General features: G+C 35.7%; 1 protein-coding gene across 19 annotated transcripts in view; it reads left to right on the plus strand.

The window, feature by feature from the left end:
• BBS9 (Bardet-Biedl syndrome 9) overlaps window positions 1–17,267 on the plus strand; it is a 506,483-nt gene that overhangs the window by 126,936 nt on the left and 362,280 nt on the right. For all 19 annotated transcript variants that reach the window (NR_145412.1, NR_145411.1, NR_145413.3 and 16 more), the window contains 3 exons: window positions 1,016–1,190; window positions 8,070–8,154; window positions 16,792–16,975. Coding sequence is in view for 16 of the 19 variants with exons in the window: in NM_001348036.1 (NP_001334965.1) it covers window positions 1,016–1,190; window positions 8,070–8,154; window positions 16,792–16,975 (444 nt within the window). In the remaining 3 variants the exon portion in view is untranslated. The remainder of the gene's footprint in view (window positions 1–1,015; window positions 1,191–8,069; window positions 8,155–16,791; window positions 16,976–17,267) is intronic.

Raw genomic sequence — 17,267 nt, forward strand, 5'->3', positions numbered from 1 at the left:
TGTAAAGCCTACCATACGTTATAAAAGAATCTGAGTATTGAGAGAATACTTTTCAAACAGCATTAATATAAACAATTTTTATCTCTCTAAAAGAGATTCCTGAATGGTTCAGATGTATGTTTAGTGAACATTCATTCACAGACAATACTTATCCTAGAACATCTTTCAGGCTATTTAAGGTTGATAAATCTATTGTATCAGTTGAGGTGGGTTAGAGTATAATGCAGTAATAAGCACTCCAAAACTCAGTTTGTTCTCTCTCTTTTTTTCTTTTTTTTTAGCCTCTTTTGGTGATATGTTTTCTTTTTAAAAGTTGCTTAGCTGTATGATTGTCCTTAGTCAGATACAAGAAGAGTATCATCTATTTCTATGCAATTTGATTTCTTTTTGAGCACTCTTTAAAATCTAAGTATGCTATTTAAGATTGTCACTGATATTCAAGGTAATAAAGAATAGTTACTATAGTACTTACTGTATATGGTGTATGAGCTAGAGATGACAAGGTACAAGATTGGCCTTTTATTTATTCCCTTAATGAGTAGCTTAATTTTCCTCTAACATAATTTTTCCCTATGTAATACATTATAGGATACACTAATCACACTAGCAGGACATGAAAGGTTATAGCCACTAGATCTTTCTCAGATTAGGGATACTAATGTATCTATGTTTTCTATGTATCAGTTTTCTATGATAAACTGTATCAGTTTTCTATGATAAACTGTATCATAGAAATCATCATCATTACCATCATCTCAGTAAATTTTAAGAACTGTGAATATTGTGCTTAATACTGGTAGACTAATAGTAGAAGACACCTCAGAATTAGTTTATAGTTGAGGGCAATTAGGGATTGGTATTTTTCACTATTAGTAATTTTCACACCGAATGCTGCTTAATGCTATGATTTATGTAAAATTGGTGCCTAAGACATACATGTTGTAGATAGTGATTAATAAAAATATTATATTTATAAAAAGAATAGATTATCTAATTTTCTCTAATTCTTCTTTAGGTCGAGATTTAATTTGCATCCAGTCTATGGATGGGATGCTGATGGTATTTGAGCAGGAGAGCTATGCTTTTGGAAGATTTCTCCCTGGCTTTCTTCTGCCTGGTCCTCTTGCCTACAGTTCCCGTACAGATTCCTTCCTTACTGTCTCTTCCTGCCAACAAGTGGAAAGTTATAAGTAAGTTTGGATGTTAAGTCTTCAGAATCATGATTTTTTGGTGCGTTTGTTGCTGACTAATTTTTGTCCACAAAGAGCTTCAATATCACAAATGAAAAAGAGATCGGTTTCTTTGAAAATATGTGATTGTGGTGACTTAGACTATATCATTTACTATTGTAAAATATTTGAAAGGCAATATAGTGCAGTGGTTTGGGAGGCAGACCTGGATTGGAATCCTGATTTTACCACTCCAGATGTTTGATGGTCCTTATCCTGGCTCTAAAGGAGGTAATATAGCTCATTTTGACAAGTTTATTATAAGGATTAAATGTATGTCCAGTTACTACCCTGTAGAAAATGCTCAATAATTATTGTGATTGTTCCTTGATATAATAAATAATTAAATACGATGTTGAGTGAAAAAAGCCAAATTGAAGATTTAGCTGTGGAATTCTTTTATAAGAAAAAAGAATATGTGTGATATAGGAAAAATACTGGCATGAACTGTTAATATGAATGTCAATACTTTTTTAGAAGAACAATTCATAGTATAAGTGAAGTATGAAAATGACCCTAGGCAAATAGTTTATACTTATTCGCTAGAAATTCTTATTGGTCTTGGTAAATTGTGTATGAGAGAGACTGTTTTCTTCTCCACCAGCTAGATTTAAATAAAAGTCAAGGTTTTGAGTTTTTGGAGAGTATGTTTTTTATTGGCAGAGAGAATGGGGAAAAGAGTAGAAATTCATGCTGGGAAAAGAAATAGCCTTGGAGGTTTTCAGTGCCTTTAGTAACTTTATTGTGTTGTCTTACTGGTGGCAACATTTGGAAGTTTAAACATCTAAGCAACACATCATCATGGCTTTTCAACATTATTTTTGGCCACATCATTATTCCCAAGATGGGAAGAAGATATAAATTCATCAGGCAACAGATGTAAATTTTTGTCTTCATGTTTCAATGTTGTGTATATAACAAGTTAATGCAGCTTTCTCATCATAAGTAGCCATTTGCTTTTTGTAAATCATTGTCAAGGCATCTAGGGTTAAAACTCTGAAAATAAGTGAATGTTTGTGAGTAAGCAGAATTTAACCGATTTAGGAAGTGTATCATCATGTAATATTCCTTCTGTAATTCTTATGGCTCTTATCCAAAGGAGATGATTGAATGGTGGCATTGCTATTGGTAATAAATAAAATATTATATTTATTTGGAGAGGTTGGGAAAAATATCTGTATAGTTTACTCAAGCCTGCCAAACTTGAGCAATATTAGGACATCTGCTTTTTAGCTTTCCACCCAGCTCTGTGCCTCACCTCCTGCCAAGTAGTGCTATGCTAGAGCCACAGTACAAATATTTAAACACCCAGTTACTTACTCTTTGAAATATGTGCATAGGAATTAATTTGATAATAACTCTGGGAGTGATTGGATAGAGAAGTAATGTGTAGATTTCCTTAATGTGTGAGTTTAATCTAACAGAAGCTCACATTGTTTTAACTGTGGTAAGTCTCCAACATACCAATCTATTAAATTCATCTTTGTCTTAGACTAAAAAATGTACACGTTATGCATTATGTGGCTCATTTATAATGGTAAAAATGCATGAGATACGAGATTATTGTGAAATGATGACAATCAAGAAGGTTTACAACATTAAGTCGTATGTTGTACTTATATATGCTTTCAACTTTAATAGATTATATTAAATGATAATCACTGCTGCATTTTTGGATTTTGGAGAAAGCATGAAAACTATGTTTGTTCTTTTGAGGCTTTATTAAATCTGTCTATATTCAGTTAATATAATATAATCAATTAATAGAATAGGCTTTTAACACATAACTCATTTTCATTTTTGATATTGATACCTTTAGTTTCTTTAAACCCTGCTTAATTATGTTTAAATAAAAACCAGTGAAGGCTAGGGATCTCAAACTTCAGTGTACGTAGGAGTCACCTGGACAGCCTGTTATAAAATGCACTTTTACAGATGCTAGTCCCCAGTCCCCTAGATTTCTTTTAATAGGTTAGGGGATAAGACCCAGAAATCATCATTGTAAATTTTTACTCCAGATCAATCTAATTCAGGGGCACACTTTGAGCACCATTTTTCTTTTTGAAGTAAGAGAATTGTTTGCCCTGAGACATTTTTTTTTTTTTAATAGAGACGGGGTCTCACTATGTTGCCCAGACTTGTCTTGAGCTCTTGGGCTTAAGTGAACCTTCTGCCTTGGCTTCCCAAAGTGCTGGGATTACTGGCATTAGCCACCACTCCTGGTCTGTTTGCCCTTTACTGAGGGTAAGGGTAAGGGCTTTGGTACCACTGTTCTCTGGGCCATGTATGTCCAAACTTTGATCATCTTTTATTCTCTTTTCTTATCCTTTGCCTTGCAGAATTATTTAGTCAGTAATCCCTGCCCTTAATACTTTCTCTTATTCAGCCTCTCCTTCCCATTCCCATTGGTTCAGGCCTATATTTTTTCACTTGGATTTCCGTTTTTTTTTTTTTCTCTCTAAACTTTGAAGGTTTCTTCTCATATCTTTTCTTTTAAAACACCTCCTTAAGCCAGAATAATTTTTATTTCTGACTAAAAGACCTAGACTTTTTTCTTTTTTTTTTTTTGAGACTGAGTCTTGCTCTGTCGCCCAGGCTGGAGTGCAGTGGCGCGATTTTGGCTCACTGCAACCTCTGCCTCCCGCGTTCAAGCAATTGTCCTGCCTCAGCCTCCCAAGTAGCTGGGACTACAGGCGCATGCTGCCACGCCCAGCTAATTACTTTTGTATTTTAGTAGAGACAGGGTTTCATTGTGTTGCCCGGGCTGGTTGCGAACTCCTGAGCTCAGGCAGTCTGCCCGCCTCAGCCTCCCAAAGTGCTAGGATTACATGCATGAGCCACCACGCCCGGCCTAGATATTTTATTATTGACATTCAGTGCTTTTTATAATCCAGTCCCATTTTACCTCTATGATGTGGACTTTTGGACTTGGAAGTGACTTTTGAAGTTAACTGGTTCAACTGTCTTCCTTTTTTCACCTCCTAGATATATTACTGCCTAAAACACTGATTTTTGGCTAATGTCATGTATTGCCTTCTTGTACTGACATTTTCCAGAGTATCTTGCATTATCAGGTTCTTGAGAGAAGAATCTGTGTTAAACATCTCTTCACTGACTGAATAATTCAGTTTGTTTATTCAGTCATTCATTCAGCAAATATTTTTCAACAGGCTTGTGTGCCATACACTGTGCAAGGTACTGGAAATGTAGTCAAATAGACGTGCCTCTTATCCTCAAATAGTATTCAAGGAGGCAGGAAGTCAGTCAGCTACTTCAGTCCATTTGTCATACAGGCTATAGCAGAGCTTTGCATAGGATGCTGAGGAGGCCTCGAGGTGGGACCTCTAAGAGTTGAATGTAGGGAGGCTCCCTAAAAGAGTATACCTGCCATGGGTGTTATTTCTCTCCTTCTGTCTGCTATACCCCTTCCCCAGCAACCCCTCAATAGCTCCTAATACATCACTAAGTAAATAATCAGCCTTAAATAAATATTTAAAAGTGTTTCTGTTGAATTTAATTGACTGTTTTAAAAAGAAGTATTCTTCTCCAATCTTTGGCTCTGACCAAATGGAAATATTTGTAGTCTCCATATATGTTAAGGGTTTTTCTCTCTCTCCTTTTTTTTTTTTCCCACATACTGTCTATCTCCTATGTCTGAAGTGCTTTTCCTTCTTTCTCTGCACGTGGAAATTATGTCTAGAAGCCTCCCTGCTCCCCTTCAGTTCTTCCCTGACCTAGATGTAACCAACATCTCCTTTTTCTCAATTTACATAGTAGTTTTTCAGTGCTTCCCTTAGGTATTACTTATGCTTTCACTGATAGTAAACATTTGTTTTTCTCCTTGACTAAGCTCAGTGCTCCTCGATGGCAGGAATTCTGTATCCCCTGAAGTGCCCAGCACTGTACCTTGGTGAAAGTGGGTGTTCAATGAGAACTGATAAAAGAGTGAAAAGTGTATAAAGAAAGCTTCTGTTTTGTTACTGGCATCTTTCAATGAAAAGGATTCTCCCCGGCATAGTCAAGAATGTTTTAGCTATAGTTGAAATCAACATAATAATGCTCTGTGTCTCGAGCTTCCATTTCTAGTAAAGTTCTCTGGGTTACATATCAAGGTTCCAAAACTTCCTGCCACTCACTGAGGTGACAGTTCTGTTTATTTTGAAAATAAATGATTTTGGAGGGTTTACTTTTGTGCTCTGTGATGCCTCAATCTATATTTTAGTTACCTGCTACTGTTTTTACAAAGCAATTTGGAAGAGTATTAAATTATGTGGTTGAGTTTGTTATTGGTGCACTACAGGACCTGTGAAGCATTTGTGGTTAGTGAGTCAAAAAGCACCACCGTTTAGCTGCACTTGGTGTAGTTGCGATTAGTGCCTTTCTGTTCTGAGAGACATGTATGGCACTCTTTCATAAGATCTTGTTACATTGGCCCTGATTATTCTTTCAGCAATCTCGACAAGGGAACTTTTTTGTGTAGCTTATGTTACTGAACACTTGAGTGGTAAGAAAAAAGATCCAAATATTTTATTTCAGAATTTCCAAATCTGCTTGGAATTGTTTGGTTTTAGAAATAGATTTTTACATACTTTATTGGTCACAGTTAAGAGGAATTAAGGAAGAACCATAAAATAGATGCTCTTGTAAGTTTGTCATCATCTAATTTTACTGTCAAGTTTAAGTAATAAAATACTCTTCTGAGTTGTCTTTTAGGAAGAGAAATGGTTTGGATTTGGAAATCAGTAGTCAATTTTGGCTGTGCCTCTGCCTGCTGTTTTAATGTTAATAAGGCCGCTTTAGGGGCTCACTTATTTCTTAGATAAAATAATGACCATAGTTATATATATAAGCTTCAAACAGCTCAAAGAGTTTTGGACCTTTGTAACAATCTCATGAATATCTATATTATCCCTTGGCAGGTTGGTTTCTGTAGGAAATGAACCACCTATGTAACTAATTGCCTAGGGTTAGATCCATAGCAGGACAAGCTTTGGGATGATGTTCTAGTCACCAGCGCATACTATTTCTGTTGCTATGAATTGGGAATAGGAAAACAATCCTATTTGGAGTTCAGAATGTGAGGTCTAATTATTTTGCACTTTTAGAGACTTTGGGATTTTGAAGGTCAATCTCAGATGGTATAGAGAGATTGGCTGCAGCTGACCGTGGGATTTTGTAGCATGGTCTTACAAGGCTGAGATCTTCTCCCTCTTACTTCATGCGCCCCATGACTCATTCCTCCCTGTCATGCATCTCTCCTAAACTCCTGTCATGGCCTTTCATGTCTCTTTTACTGCTGCATGCCTTTGCATTTGTTATTTGATTTGCCATAATGCCTTCTCCTTCTTTACCAGCGTGATAGAATTTTCACTCATCCTTTAAAACCTAGCTTTCTCTTCCTGAACCTATACCAAGAGCATATCTTTTCTCCCCCAATTACTTGTTACTATTGGTACTACGTGCATACCTTCTGTTAATTAGCACAGGATACTCTGAGTTATACTTAGCTGTCTGTATATGAGTCTCTACAACTAGTGTGGGAGCACCTTATGAGTATAGATTATGTAGTAGTTTTTCCATTGTTAATGTTTGTATTGGATCCCTACTATATGTTTATAAAATGAATGAAATTTATATATATTACGTTTTCATATTAATAAGATCTATTTTTTATAAGCTATTGTTAAGTTTGTCATCACCTTCTATGTCTTGGAAAATTTAAATCATAGTCATTCTGCATTCAACTGAAGTTACAGGTTTTTTATAAGTGAATTATTCTTGATTGAGATAGGATGTTTTCAGAGTTGGTATATGACATTTGAAGACCATTGTACATTTCAGTGCTTGTTTAGATATGCCACATTGCCTTCATTCAGGTCCCTGATTTTTACACTCTCAGATATCTGTGTCTTAGAAAATGTGAGTTTTGATTCAATAGGAGGGAAAGGCATCTGTGAGTCTGTAGTTGCTTTATGTACAGTAGGATTATTCTTCTAAAAATATGCCATTAATTAATGAGAAATATAGAAATTTCAACTTTATTAGATAAATTAATCATTTCTAGATTGAATAATATTTATAAATTGTTTTTAAGAATAATTTGAGCTAAATGCCACTATTGAAATAGAAGCTGTAAAATACTTATAGATCATAATGTCGATTACTGAGAACTCACTACCTACCAGCTACAAACTACTATGTGATTGATCTCTATCTCTATATAAATCTGTCTCTTTGTCAACCCATCAATCAATAATTGTATACCTACTATATACCAAATAGTAGGCACTTTATAATTTATTGTTTAATCCTTTTAACAATGATTGTGTTAGAGATTATTATCTCTGTTTTATGGATGGGGAAGCCAGACACAGAGTGATTATTCACCAAAAATGTACTTACCTAGTTAAGTGGTTAAACTGGGGTTAAACTGAGTTCTTTTTGGTTCCATAGATTATGTATTGATAATTTCTACTCCATCTGACTGCTTTGCATATTTACATTTTTTTCTGTCTATTTGGTGTTTAGGTGCTAGATCTTTCTTGAGCATTGTTACTTGTCACATAAAATTCTAATGGAAGTGCTTTAATAGTTGGTAGAGCTGTTTTCCCAACACTGAATAATGGACATATGGTTATAATTTCTTTATCATGACATTTTACACAGTTTTATGTCACAATATCACTCAATAAGAATTCAATCTTAAATTTTAGAGTTTTTAAAAACTAGGAAAAAGTGCTTTATAAAGTTTATAGATTATTGTGTACTTTTAAAGTTTAAAATAATTTATAATTTTTAATTATAAACTCATTTATAATTTTTTAAATTTCTTTCATACAGGTACCAGGTACTTGCTTTTGCAACAGATGCAGATAAAAGGCAGGAGACTGAACAGCAAAAACTTGGTTCTGGAAAAAGACTAGTTGTAAGGCCTTTTTTTAATATATAAAAATTTCAATAATGCTATATCTAATCACATATGTTTGTCAATAATAATTCATGGGAAGAAAATGTAAAAAAATATGTCAGCCATTCTCTTTCCTATATTATGGTTATATTAATGACCTAAGAATTGAGTTGGTTGTTGTTGAGCAATGGAAACACATGCCTGGTCATGGTCTTAATATAACAGATTGTAGAGTTGTACCACTAGAACTGTGGATATCCAGATGGAGTCACTTTTAACAAATAAAAATAGAAACATTAAAAAAATCTCTCCTTAATAGGCAAAATTTTGTAGATTATATTCTATTGTTTGAAGTGTCTTTTTTCTCTAGCTGCTTTCCAGATTTTCTCTTATCACTTGTTTGGAGCAATGGGATTATAATGTGTACTTTTCTTTCTCTTTTTTTGAGCTTAAGATTTGTTAAGCTTCTTGCATCTATGAATATTTAGTTTGCATAAAATTTAGAAATGTTTTGGCCATTAATTCTTTAAATATTTTGTAACTAGTAGGCATGCGACCGAATATATAAGTAAAAGATAAAAATTCACAGCTCACAAAGATAGAATTAGCTCAAAGACAAAGGTGAAGTTTGATAATTTGAAAAGTAGTTTGAAGAAAAATTGTAAATGATGAATTCTCCATTTATTGTAAATTGGGGAATAGATGGTGATTATGAACTCTTCCTTATCTTGAGAACTTCCATAGACAGCAAGGCAAAAAATAGAAGGAACTAAAATTATGGTGGAAACAGTGAAATAAATCTGAGGATACACAAGAAGGAAGCTAAATGGAGAAATAATGTAGAATTTAGAATACTAACATAACAGTATTGGAGAAGACTATGCAGAATTTTCTGTATTAGGATACAGAAGTTCAGGAGATGGTAGAACAGAAGGGTAACTTGGAAAGAGTCAAGAATCAGATGAAGATATATTTTTTTTCATTGGTAGTAAAAAGTAAAAGAGCACAATGAATAAAAATATGATATAGTTTTGCACAGAATTTAGAAGCACCATAGTAATAATAGTTAAAGCACAGATTGAAGTCAAACAGGTCTTGAGAGCTTTACTTTTTTTTTGAGCAAGTTACAGCAAGTTTGTTAGCCTTACTAAATCTCAGTTTCCTCATTTGCAAAGTGATAATATCTATTTTAAAATGTTGTTATTAGGCTGGGCGCGGTGGCTCATGCCTGTAATCCCAGCACTTTGGCAGGCTGAGGCAGGTGGATCACCCGAGTTCAGGAGTTCGAGAGCAGCCTGGCCAACATGGAGAAACCCCATCTCCACTAAAATACAAAATTAGCTGGGCATGGTGGCCCATGCCTGTAGTTCTAGCTCCTTGGGAGGCTGAGGCAGGAGAATCGCTTGAACCTGGGGGGCAGAGATTGCAGTAAGCTGAGATCGTGCCACTGTACTCTAGCCTGGGTGACAGAGCAAGACTCCGTCTCAAAATAAAAAAAGTTGTTATAAGATAAATTAGGTATTTATATATAAATATATGTATTGTATATAATAAATATATAAAGCACATAGCAAAATGTCTGGATGAACTTACTGATAATGGTAATTAAATTGTCCTTTGACCTCCTCAATAGTGGTGTTCTTCCATTTGTTTCTTATAGTCTGCACTTCAGCCATATAGGGCCTCTCATTGTTCCAAATATTCCATGGCTCTTCTTCATTCTAGGCATATGGTTTTTCTTCTGTCTGGAATAGCCTTTCCTTATCATTTGCAGTTTTTATTGATTACTCCATGTCTCACACTGAGGATGTATTCTGAAGGCAATTGCAGTTGAGTGGTTTTTCCATTCGATTAGTGAATAGAGTAAGAAATAGCAGTAAAACTTCATTTTGTTACACGATAGTCACTTTGCAGGAATGTGATACCATGGAGCAATATCAAATCTATTGCAGAAGAAACAGAACTTACCCAATGGAGTGATTTTAATAAGATAGTTGTGGGAAGTCATTTAATAGCTTCCTGTGTTACTCACAGCTACCTTTTTATTGATTGATTTCTATTTAAGTCTTTTGTGTTCAGAAAAATAATTTGTATGATTTAAATTCTCTTAGATTCATTGAGATTTGTCTTATGGCCTAGAATATGATCTATCTTGGTAAACGTTCAGTGTGCACCTGAAAAGAATGTGTATTTTTTTTGTTGTTAGAGTGTTTCATACATGTCAATTAGATTATGTTGGATGATAGTGTTGTTCAACTCTTCTATATCCTTATTAGTTTTTTTACTAGTTATTATTAGTTATTGAGAGAGGGGTATTGAAATCTTTGACTGTAATTGTGGATTTTTTTGTATCTCCTTGGAAATATGTCTATCTATATCTATATTTATTTATTTATTTATTTTTGAGACAGAGCCTTGCTGTGTTGCCCAGGCTGGAGTGTAGTGGCACAATCTTGGCTCACTGCAACCTCCGCCTCCCGGGTTCAAGTGATTCTCCTGCCTCAGCCTCCTGAGTAGCTGGGACTATAGGCATGTATCACTATGTCCAGCTAATTTTTTTGTATTTTTAGTACAGATGGGGTTTTGCCGTGTTGACCAGACTGGTCTCGATCTCTTGACCTCGTGATCCGCCTGCCTTGGCCTCCCAAAGTGCTAGGATTACAGGCATGAGCCACCACGCCTGGCATATATCTATATTTATTTATTTATTTTTTGCTTCAGATATTTTGGAATTCTGTTATTAGGTACATAAACATTTAAGACTGTTCTGTCTCATGATGAACCCCTCCCCTTTACATTATGAAATGACCTTTATCCTTTTGTTTGATAATCTTCTTTTTTCTGAGACCTACTTAATCTGTTGGTAAAATACTCAGTTTTCTTTTGATTAGTGTTATTCTGATACCTTTTTCTATCTTTCCACTTTGAATCTGTTTGTCCCTTTATACTTCAAGTGCATAATTTATAAGAAGCATGTAGTTGGTTGGGATTTGCTTTTTAAAATCAGTGTGATATATACTCTGCCATTTAATTTTGTTTTATTTATCTATATGTCTGTCTAGTTTTTTTGGTTTCCTTTTCCTCTTTTTCTGCTTTTCTTTGGATTTATCCAGTTTTTTTTTTAAATTCTATTTTATCTTTGTTGGTTTATTAGCTATAACTCTTTGTTTTGTTATTTTAGTGTTTGCTTTAGGGTTTCCAGTTTTTCTCTTTGACTTAACACAGTCTACCTTCAGGTGATATATTACCTTATATATAATATAAGAAGTATGCTTCTGTTTCCTACCTTCCAGTCTTTGTGCTATTGTCCTGTATTTTATTTTTACATAGGCTGTGAACCCCATATTACATTGTAATTATTTTTGCATAAATAATCAATTATATTTTAATGAGATTTAAATGACAAGAAAAATATGTATTTACCCATGTAGGTATCATTTCTGCTGTTCTTCTTTAATTTGTATAATTCCATCTTTCCATCTGGTTTCATTTTCCTTCAAACTAAAGGAATTCCTTTCACATTTCTTTTAGTGTGGGCCTGCTGGTGACGAATTTTTCATTTTTTATGTATATACTGTTCTTGAGGTTATCCCTGGGACACAGTTAAGTTACTTGGAAACAGTTTGATTTTTGGGGGCCTTGTTCTCAAGACTTGTTAAGTGGGACCAGGGTAGTGCTCATTTTAGGGCTACTTATTCCCTATTCCTCAGGCAAGATCCTTCTTAGTACTGTACCAATTCACTCAGAATTATGAGGTTTTGCAGCCTGGCTGGTGGGCACAGGAAATATCTTATACCCTGTGTGAATGTTGGGCACTGTTATCTCTAATCTTTTTTGGGTGGTTCTTTCCCTGGCCTTGTGTGGTTTCCTTACAATAATTTGCCAGTAAGTACTCAGCTGAATATTTGAGGGCACTCTCTGCAGATCTCCAGAGTTCTGTCTGTATGCAGCATTTATATGTAGCTATTTGGTGTGCTGTCTTGTTAACTCCAACTGCTGTGGTTTCTCCAGACTCTGAGTATCCATCTCCACAATTCACAGAGTCTGCTGGGCTCTGCCTAGGTTCTTCTTCCCTGCACTATGGCCTAGAAACTCTTTCAAGGCTGGAGCAATCATGCCACTCACCTCGTTTGTTTTCTGTCTTTAAGGGATTGCTGTGCTTTGTTGTCTGGTGTCCAGTGCCTTGCAAACTATTGTTTCATTTATTTTGTCCACTTTGTCGTTGTTTTAGGTGGGATGCTAAATCATTTCCTTATTACTCCATCTTGGCTGGAAGTGGAAGAATTTTTTTTTTATTATTGTTCTTAGCAAATTTCTGTGTTTTATGAGACTCATTAATTCAGAATGTAGTGTATTTCCCTAAGTGGAGGTCACAGAGTGGCATTCAGTACCTGGTAAATTGAAAGTATTTAGTGGCTGGATCTCAGACTGTGGCCTCAGAAACATGATTTGCCTGTTCACTTTGGATAAATCACCTCTCAGAGTGAGGCACACATCAGCCCGAGGTACAGACACTGACGTACAAAGCCAAATGCTAGCCTGTTACAATATAATGAGAAATATAACTGTCATGGGACTGATATTCATGTCCTGTCCAGTGGAGTCATTTTATATAGGTAAGCAATACTTGAGCCAAATAGTAATCAAATAATTTCTTAGTGTTGAATTCTAGTTCAGCTTAAGATAGTCTGATGCACCTACCTATGTTCACTAGGCTGTCTCCCTTCTACAGATTGATCTTATACATATACTGGCAATATTTGCCTTTCTGGCCAGCCCCATTTGGATTTTATACCTTCTTCAAATATTTTAATATCTAAAGTAGATGAATACCTAAGATCATGTCTTGATGGCCAAAAATTCATCTTGTCTTTAATGTGACTTTTCATGATCTTTTCTTGGATCCATTGTTTGTTGATCATAGCCTAACTTTCACAGCAGCCCTATTTCCTGTTTATGCAGATTTTTCTCTGTGAAACCATCTCATTATTACTTTCATATACAATATATGCCTGTCAGGGACCCTGGCTTGGGTCCACAGCTCTCCCATTTTGGGCCGATTAATGGATTGATTGCAGCTCTGCATCTCTCTTGGGTGAAGCCCCAGGAGACAAGACCCTTGGCTCCAACCACTGCTAAGGTCCATTCCTCTGCTGCCTCTAAGCTGGGGAGGGAATATAAAGCTTGAGATCTCCCCAGAGAGGCAGAGTGCAGCCTGGGAGTGCCAAGCTGTGATTTACAGCCAGCACAGAAGTGGGAGAAGAGCTGCACTTTCAGAGCATTGATACGGAACATGATGGCAACCATTGCAGTGAGCCAAGATTGCACCACCACATTGCAGCCTGGGCAACAGAGTGAGACTCCAAATGGAAAAAAAAAAAAAAAAGGCCAGGCGCAGTGGCTCATACCTGTAATCCCAGCACTTTGGGAGGCCGAGGCAGGCGGATCACGAGGTCAGGAAATCGAGACCATCCTGGCCAACATGGTGAAACCCTGTCTCTACTAAAAATACAAAAGTTAGCTGGGTGTGGTGGCGTGTGCCTGTAGTCCCAGCTACTCAGGAGTCTGAGGCAGGAGAATCGCTTGAACCTGGGAGGCGGAGGTTGCAGTGAGCTGAGATAGCTTCACTGCACTCCAGCCTGGCGACAGAGCAAGACTCTGTCTCAAAAAAAAAAAAAAAGGAGAGAAAGAGAAAATATAGAGGTGCCACATAAGTGAGAAAGAGCCTACTTACTGACCAATGCACTTGCTAACATACCCCACTTTGAAACCAAAGGCAAGAATTTAGCTATAAATAAAAACCTTGCAGAAAGCTTCAGCCCTCTGAAAACATCCAGAAAAGAAGTCTACTGACTATACTCAATTTACACCTCACGAAAAGGAATACTCATGCACACAGATGAAAAAAAACCAGTGCAAGAACTCTGGCAACTCAAAAGGCCACAGTGTTTCCCTTCCTCTAAATGATCGCACTAATTCTACAGCAAGGATTGTTAACTGGGCTGAGATGGCTAAAATGACAGAAATAGAATTCAGAATATGGACAGGAAATAAAGACCATTGAGATTCAGGAGAATGTCAAAATCCAATCCAAGAAATCTAAGAATCACAATACAATGATACAAGAGCTGACAGACGAAATAGCCAGTATAGAAAGAACTTAACTGGACCTGATAAAGCTGTAAAACACACTACAAGAATTCGTAATGTAATCACAAGTATTAATGGCAGAAGAGACCAAGCTGTGGAAAGAATCTGAGAGCTTGAAGACTGGCTTTCTGAAATAAGACAGTCAGACAAAAATAAAGAAAAAAGATAAGAAATGAACAAAACCTCCAAGACATTTGGCATTATGTAAAGAGACCAACTTTATGACTCATTGGCATCCCTGAAAGAGATGGGGAGAAAGCAAGCAAGTTGGAAAACCTCTCTCAGGATATCATTCATGAAAAATTCCCCAACCTCACTAGAGAGGCTGATATTCAAATTCGGGAAATGCAGAGAACCCCTGCAAGATACTATACAAAAAGATCATCCCCAAGACACATAATCATCAGATTCTATAAGGTCAAAATGAAAGAAAAAATGTTAAAGGCAGCTAGAGAGAAAGGTCAGGTTACCTCCAAAGGGAGCTCCATCAGGCTAATAGCGGACCTTTCGGCAGAAACCCTACAAGCCAGAAGAGATTGGAGGCCTGTATTCAATATTCATAAAGAAAAAATATTCAACCAAGAATGTCATATCCAGCCAAACTAAGCTTCATATGTGAAGGAGAAATAAGGATCTTTTCAGACAAGCAAATGAGAAGGGAAATTGTTACTACCAGACCTGCCTTACTAGAGCTCCTGAAAGAAGCACTAAATATGGAAAAGAAAGACTGTTACTAACCAATACAAAAAACACTTAAATACTTAAATACATGGAGTAATGACACTATAAAGCAGCCATACAAACAAGTCTGCGTAATAACCAGCTAACAACAATGACAGGATCAAATCCACACGTATCAATACTAACCTTGAATGTAAACAGGCTAAATGACCCATTTAAAACACACAGAGTGGCAAACTGGATCAAAAAGCAAGACACAATTGTATGCTGCCTTCAAGAGACCCATCTCACATGCTGTACACCTGTAGGCTCAAAATAAAGAGATGAAGAAAACTCTGTGAAGCAAATGGAAAAAAGCAGGAGCTGCAATCCTAATTTCAGGCAAAACAGACTTTAAACCAACAAAGACTAAAAAAGACAAATAAGGGCATTACATAATAGTAAAGGGTTCAATTCAACATGAAGATCTAACTATCCTAAATATATATGCACCCAACACAAAAGCACCCATATTCATAAAACAATTTCATAGAGACCTACTAAGAGATTTAGACTGCCACACAATAATAGTGGGAGACTTCAACACCCCACTGACCCTATGAGACAGATCACTGAGGCAGAAAATTAACAAAGATATTCAAGGTCTGAACTTAATACTTGACCAAATGGACCTAATAGACATCTACAAAACTCTCCATCCCAAAACAACAGAATATTCATTCTTCTCGTCACCACATAGCACATACTCTAAAATAAACTACACAATCGGATATAAACCAATCCTCAGCAATTCAAAAATGTCAAAATATCCATCAAAGGTAGACTGGATAAAGAAAATGTGGTACATATACACCATGGAATACTATGCAGCCATAAAAAAGAATGAGATTATGTCATTTGCAGAAACATGGATGGAGCTGGAGGCCATTATCTTTAGCAAACTAATGCAGGAACAGAAAACCAAATATCACATGTTCTCACTTAAATATCACATGTTCTTACTTTCACTTGAGGTTGAAAGGTGGGAGGAGGGAGAGGATCAGAAAAAATAACTATCACATACTACGCTTAATACCTGGGTGATAAAATAATCTATACGCCAAACCTCTGTGAAATGAATTTACCTGTATAACAAACCTTCCTATGTATCCCTGAACCTAAAGTAAAAGTTAGAAAAACTGAAAACAGTATATGCCTTTCTGCCAATGTTTTTCAAAATGGTGTGTCTTTGCTCTTTTGCATTTTCCTGACTTAGAAATATTGTATGGAAGATGAATCCTGAAAAGCTCTCATTTTACATTCATTCTTTCATTACTTTAAGAAGCATTTATTGAACATTAACTGTATCCCAGCAATATGGAGATATCCTGGAGTAGCTCTTATGTATAGAATATTCTGCTATACTCTCTAGTGGCTTGGTGACTACTCTGTATATGCATATTGATATATTTTTAGTTGCCCTATAAAAACACATGTACAATCATAATGATAGTTTTTATGGATTATTAAATTTGATTTGCAAATTAAGCACAATATCATTTTCATGGAAGTTTTTTAGGGAAGCAGATAAGTGTTTTAGTGTTCTTGAATTGCAGAATAGTTAATATCATTTGGTAAGACATGGAACAAAACTTTGATTAGAGTCTTGTAAAATACCAGAAAAATGGTCATAGTGATAAAAAAAAGAATAAAGAAATGAAAGAGATTAGCCCATCTTTATATTTCTGCTTTGTTGTAAAGCAATTTCTTAATTTATATTGATATGAAAATAACTGAAATTTTCTGAGGTTAGCAACTAAATTGATATTGAGTTTTGCTTTGTAGGTGGATTGGACTCTAAATATTGGAGAGCAAGCCCTTGACATATGTATTGTCTCTTTCAATCAGTCGGCATCCTCTGTTTTTGTTCTTGGTGAGAGAAACTTTTTTTGCCTTAAGGATAATGGACAAATTCGATTCATGAAGAAGCTTGATTGGAGCCCAAGTTGTTTTCTGCCATATTGCTCAGGTGTGTAGAAAGATTTTCTTTTATCTCTTCCATATGTCAAGGCTATGTGATATACACCAGAAAAAGCCACACTCATACACATATTGTAAACATATATGAAAACAGTTTAATATTGAATATGTAATGGAAATTTTAACTTTCAAAGTTTGAATGGAAGTTTGATATAAAGCACACATTTGGTTTTGTCAGTCATTTTACTTTGTACAAAATGACTTGTAAAATTGGCCTCCGGCATACATTAATACTTTCCATAATGTGGCTATTCAAGATGCTTTCAAGAGAACATCAGACT

Source organism: Homo sapiens, chromosome 7, assembly GCF_000001405.40.
Source record: "Homo sapiens chromosome 7, GRCh38.p14 Primary Assembly".
Classification (NCBI taxonomy): Eukaryota; Metazoa; Chordata; class Mammalia; order Primates; family Hominidae; genus Homo; species Homo sapiens.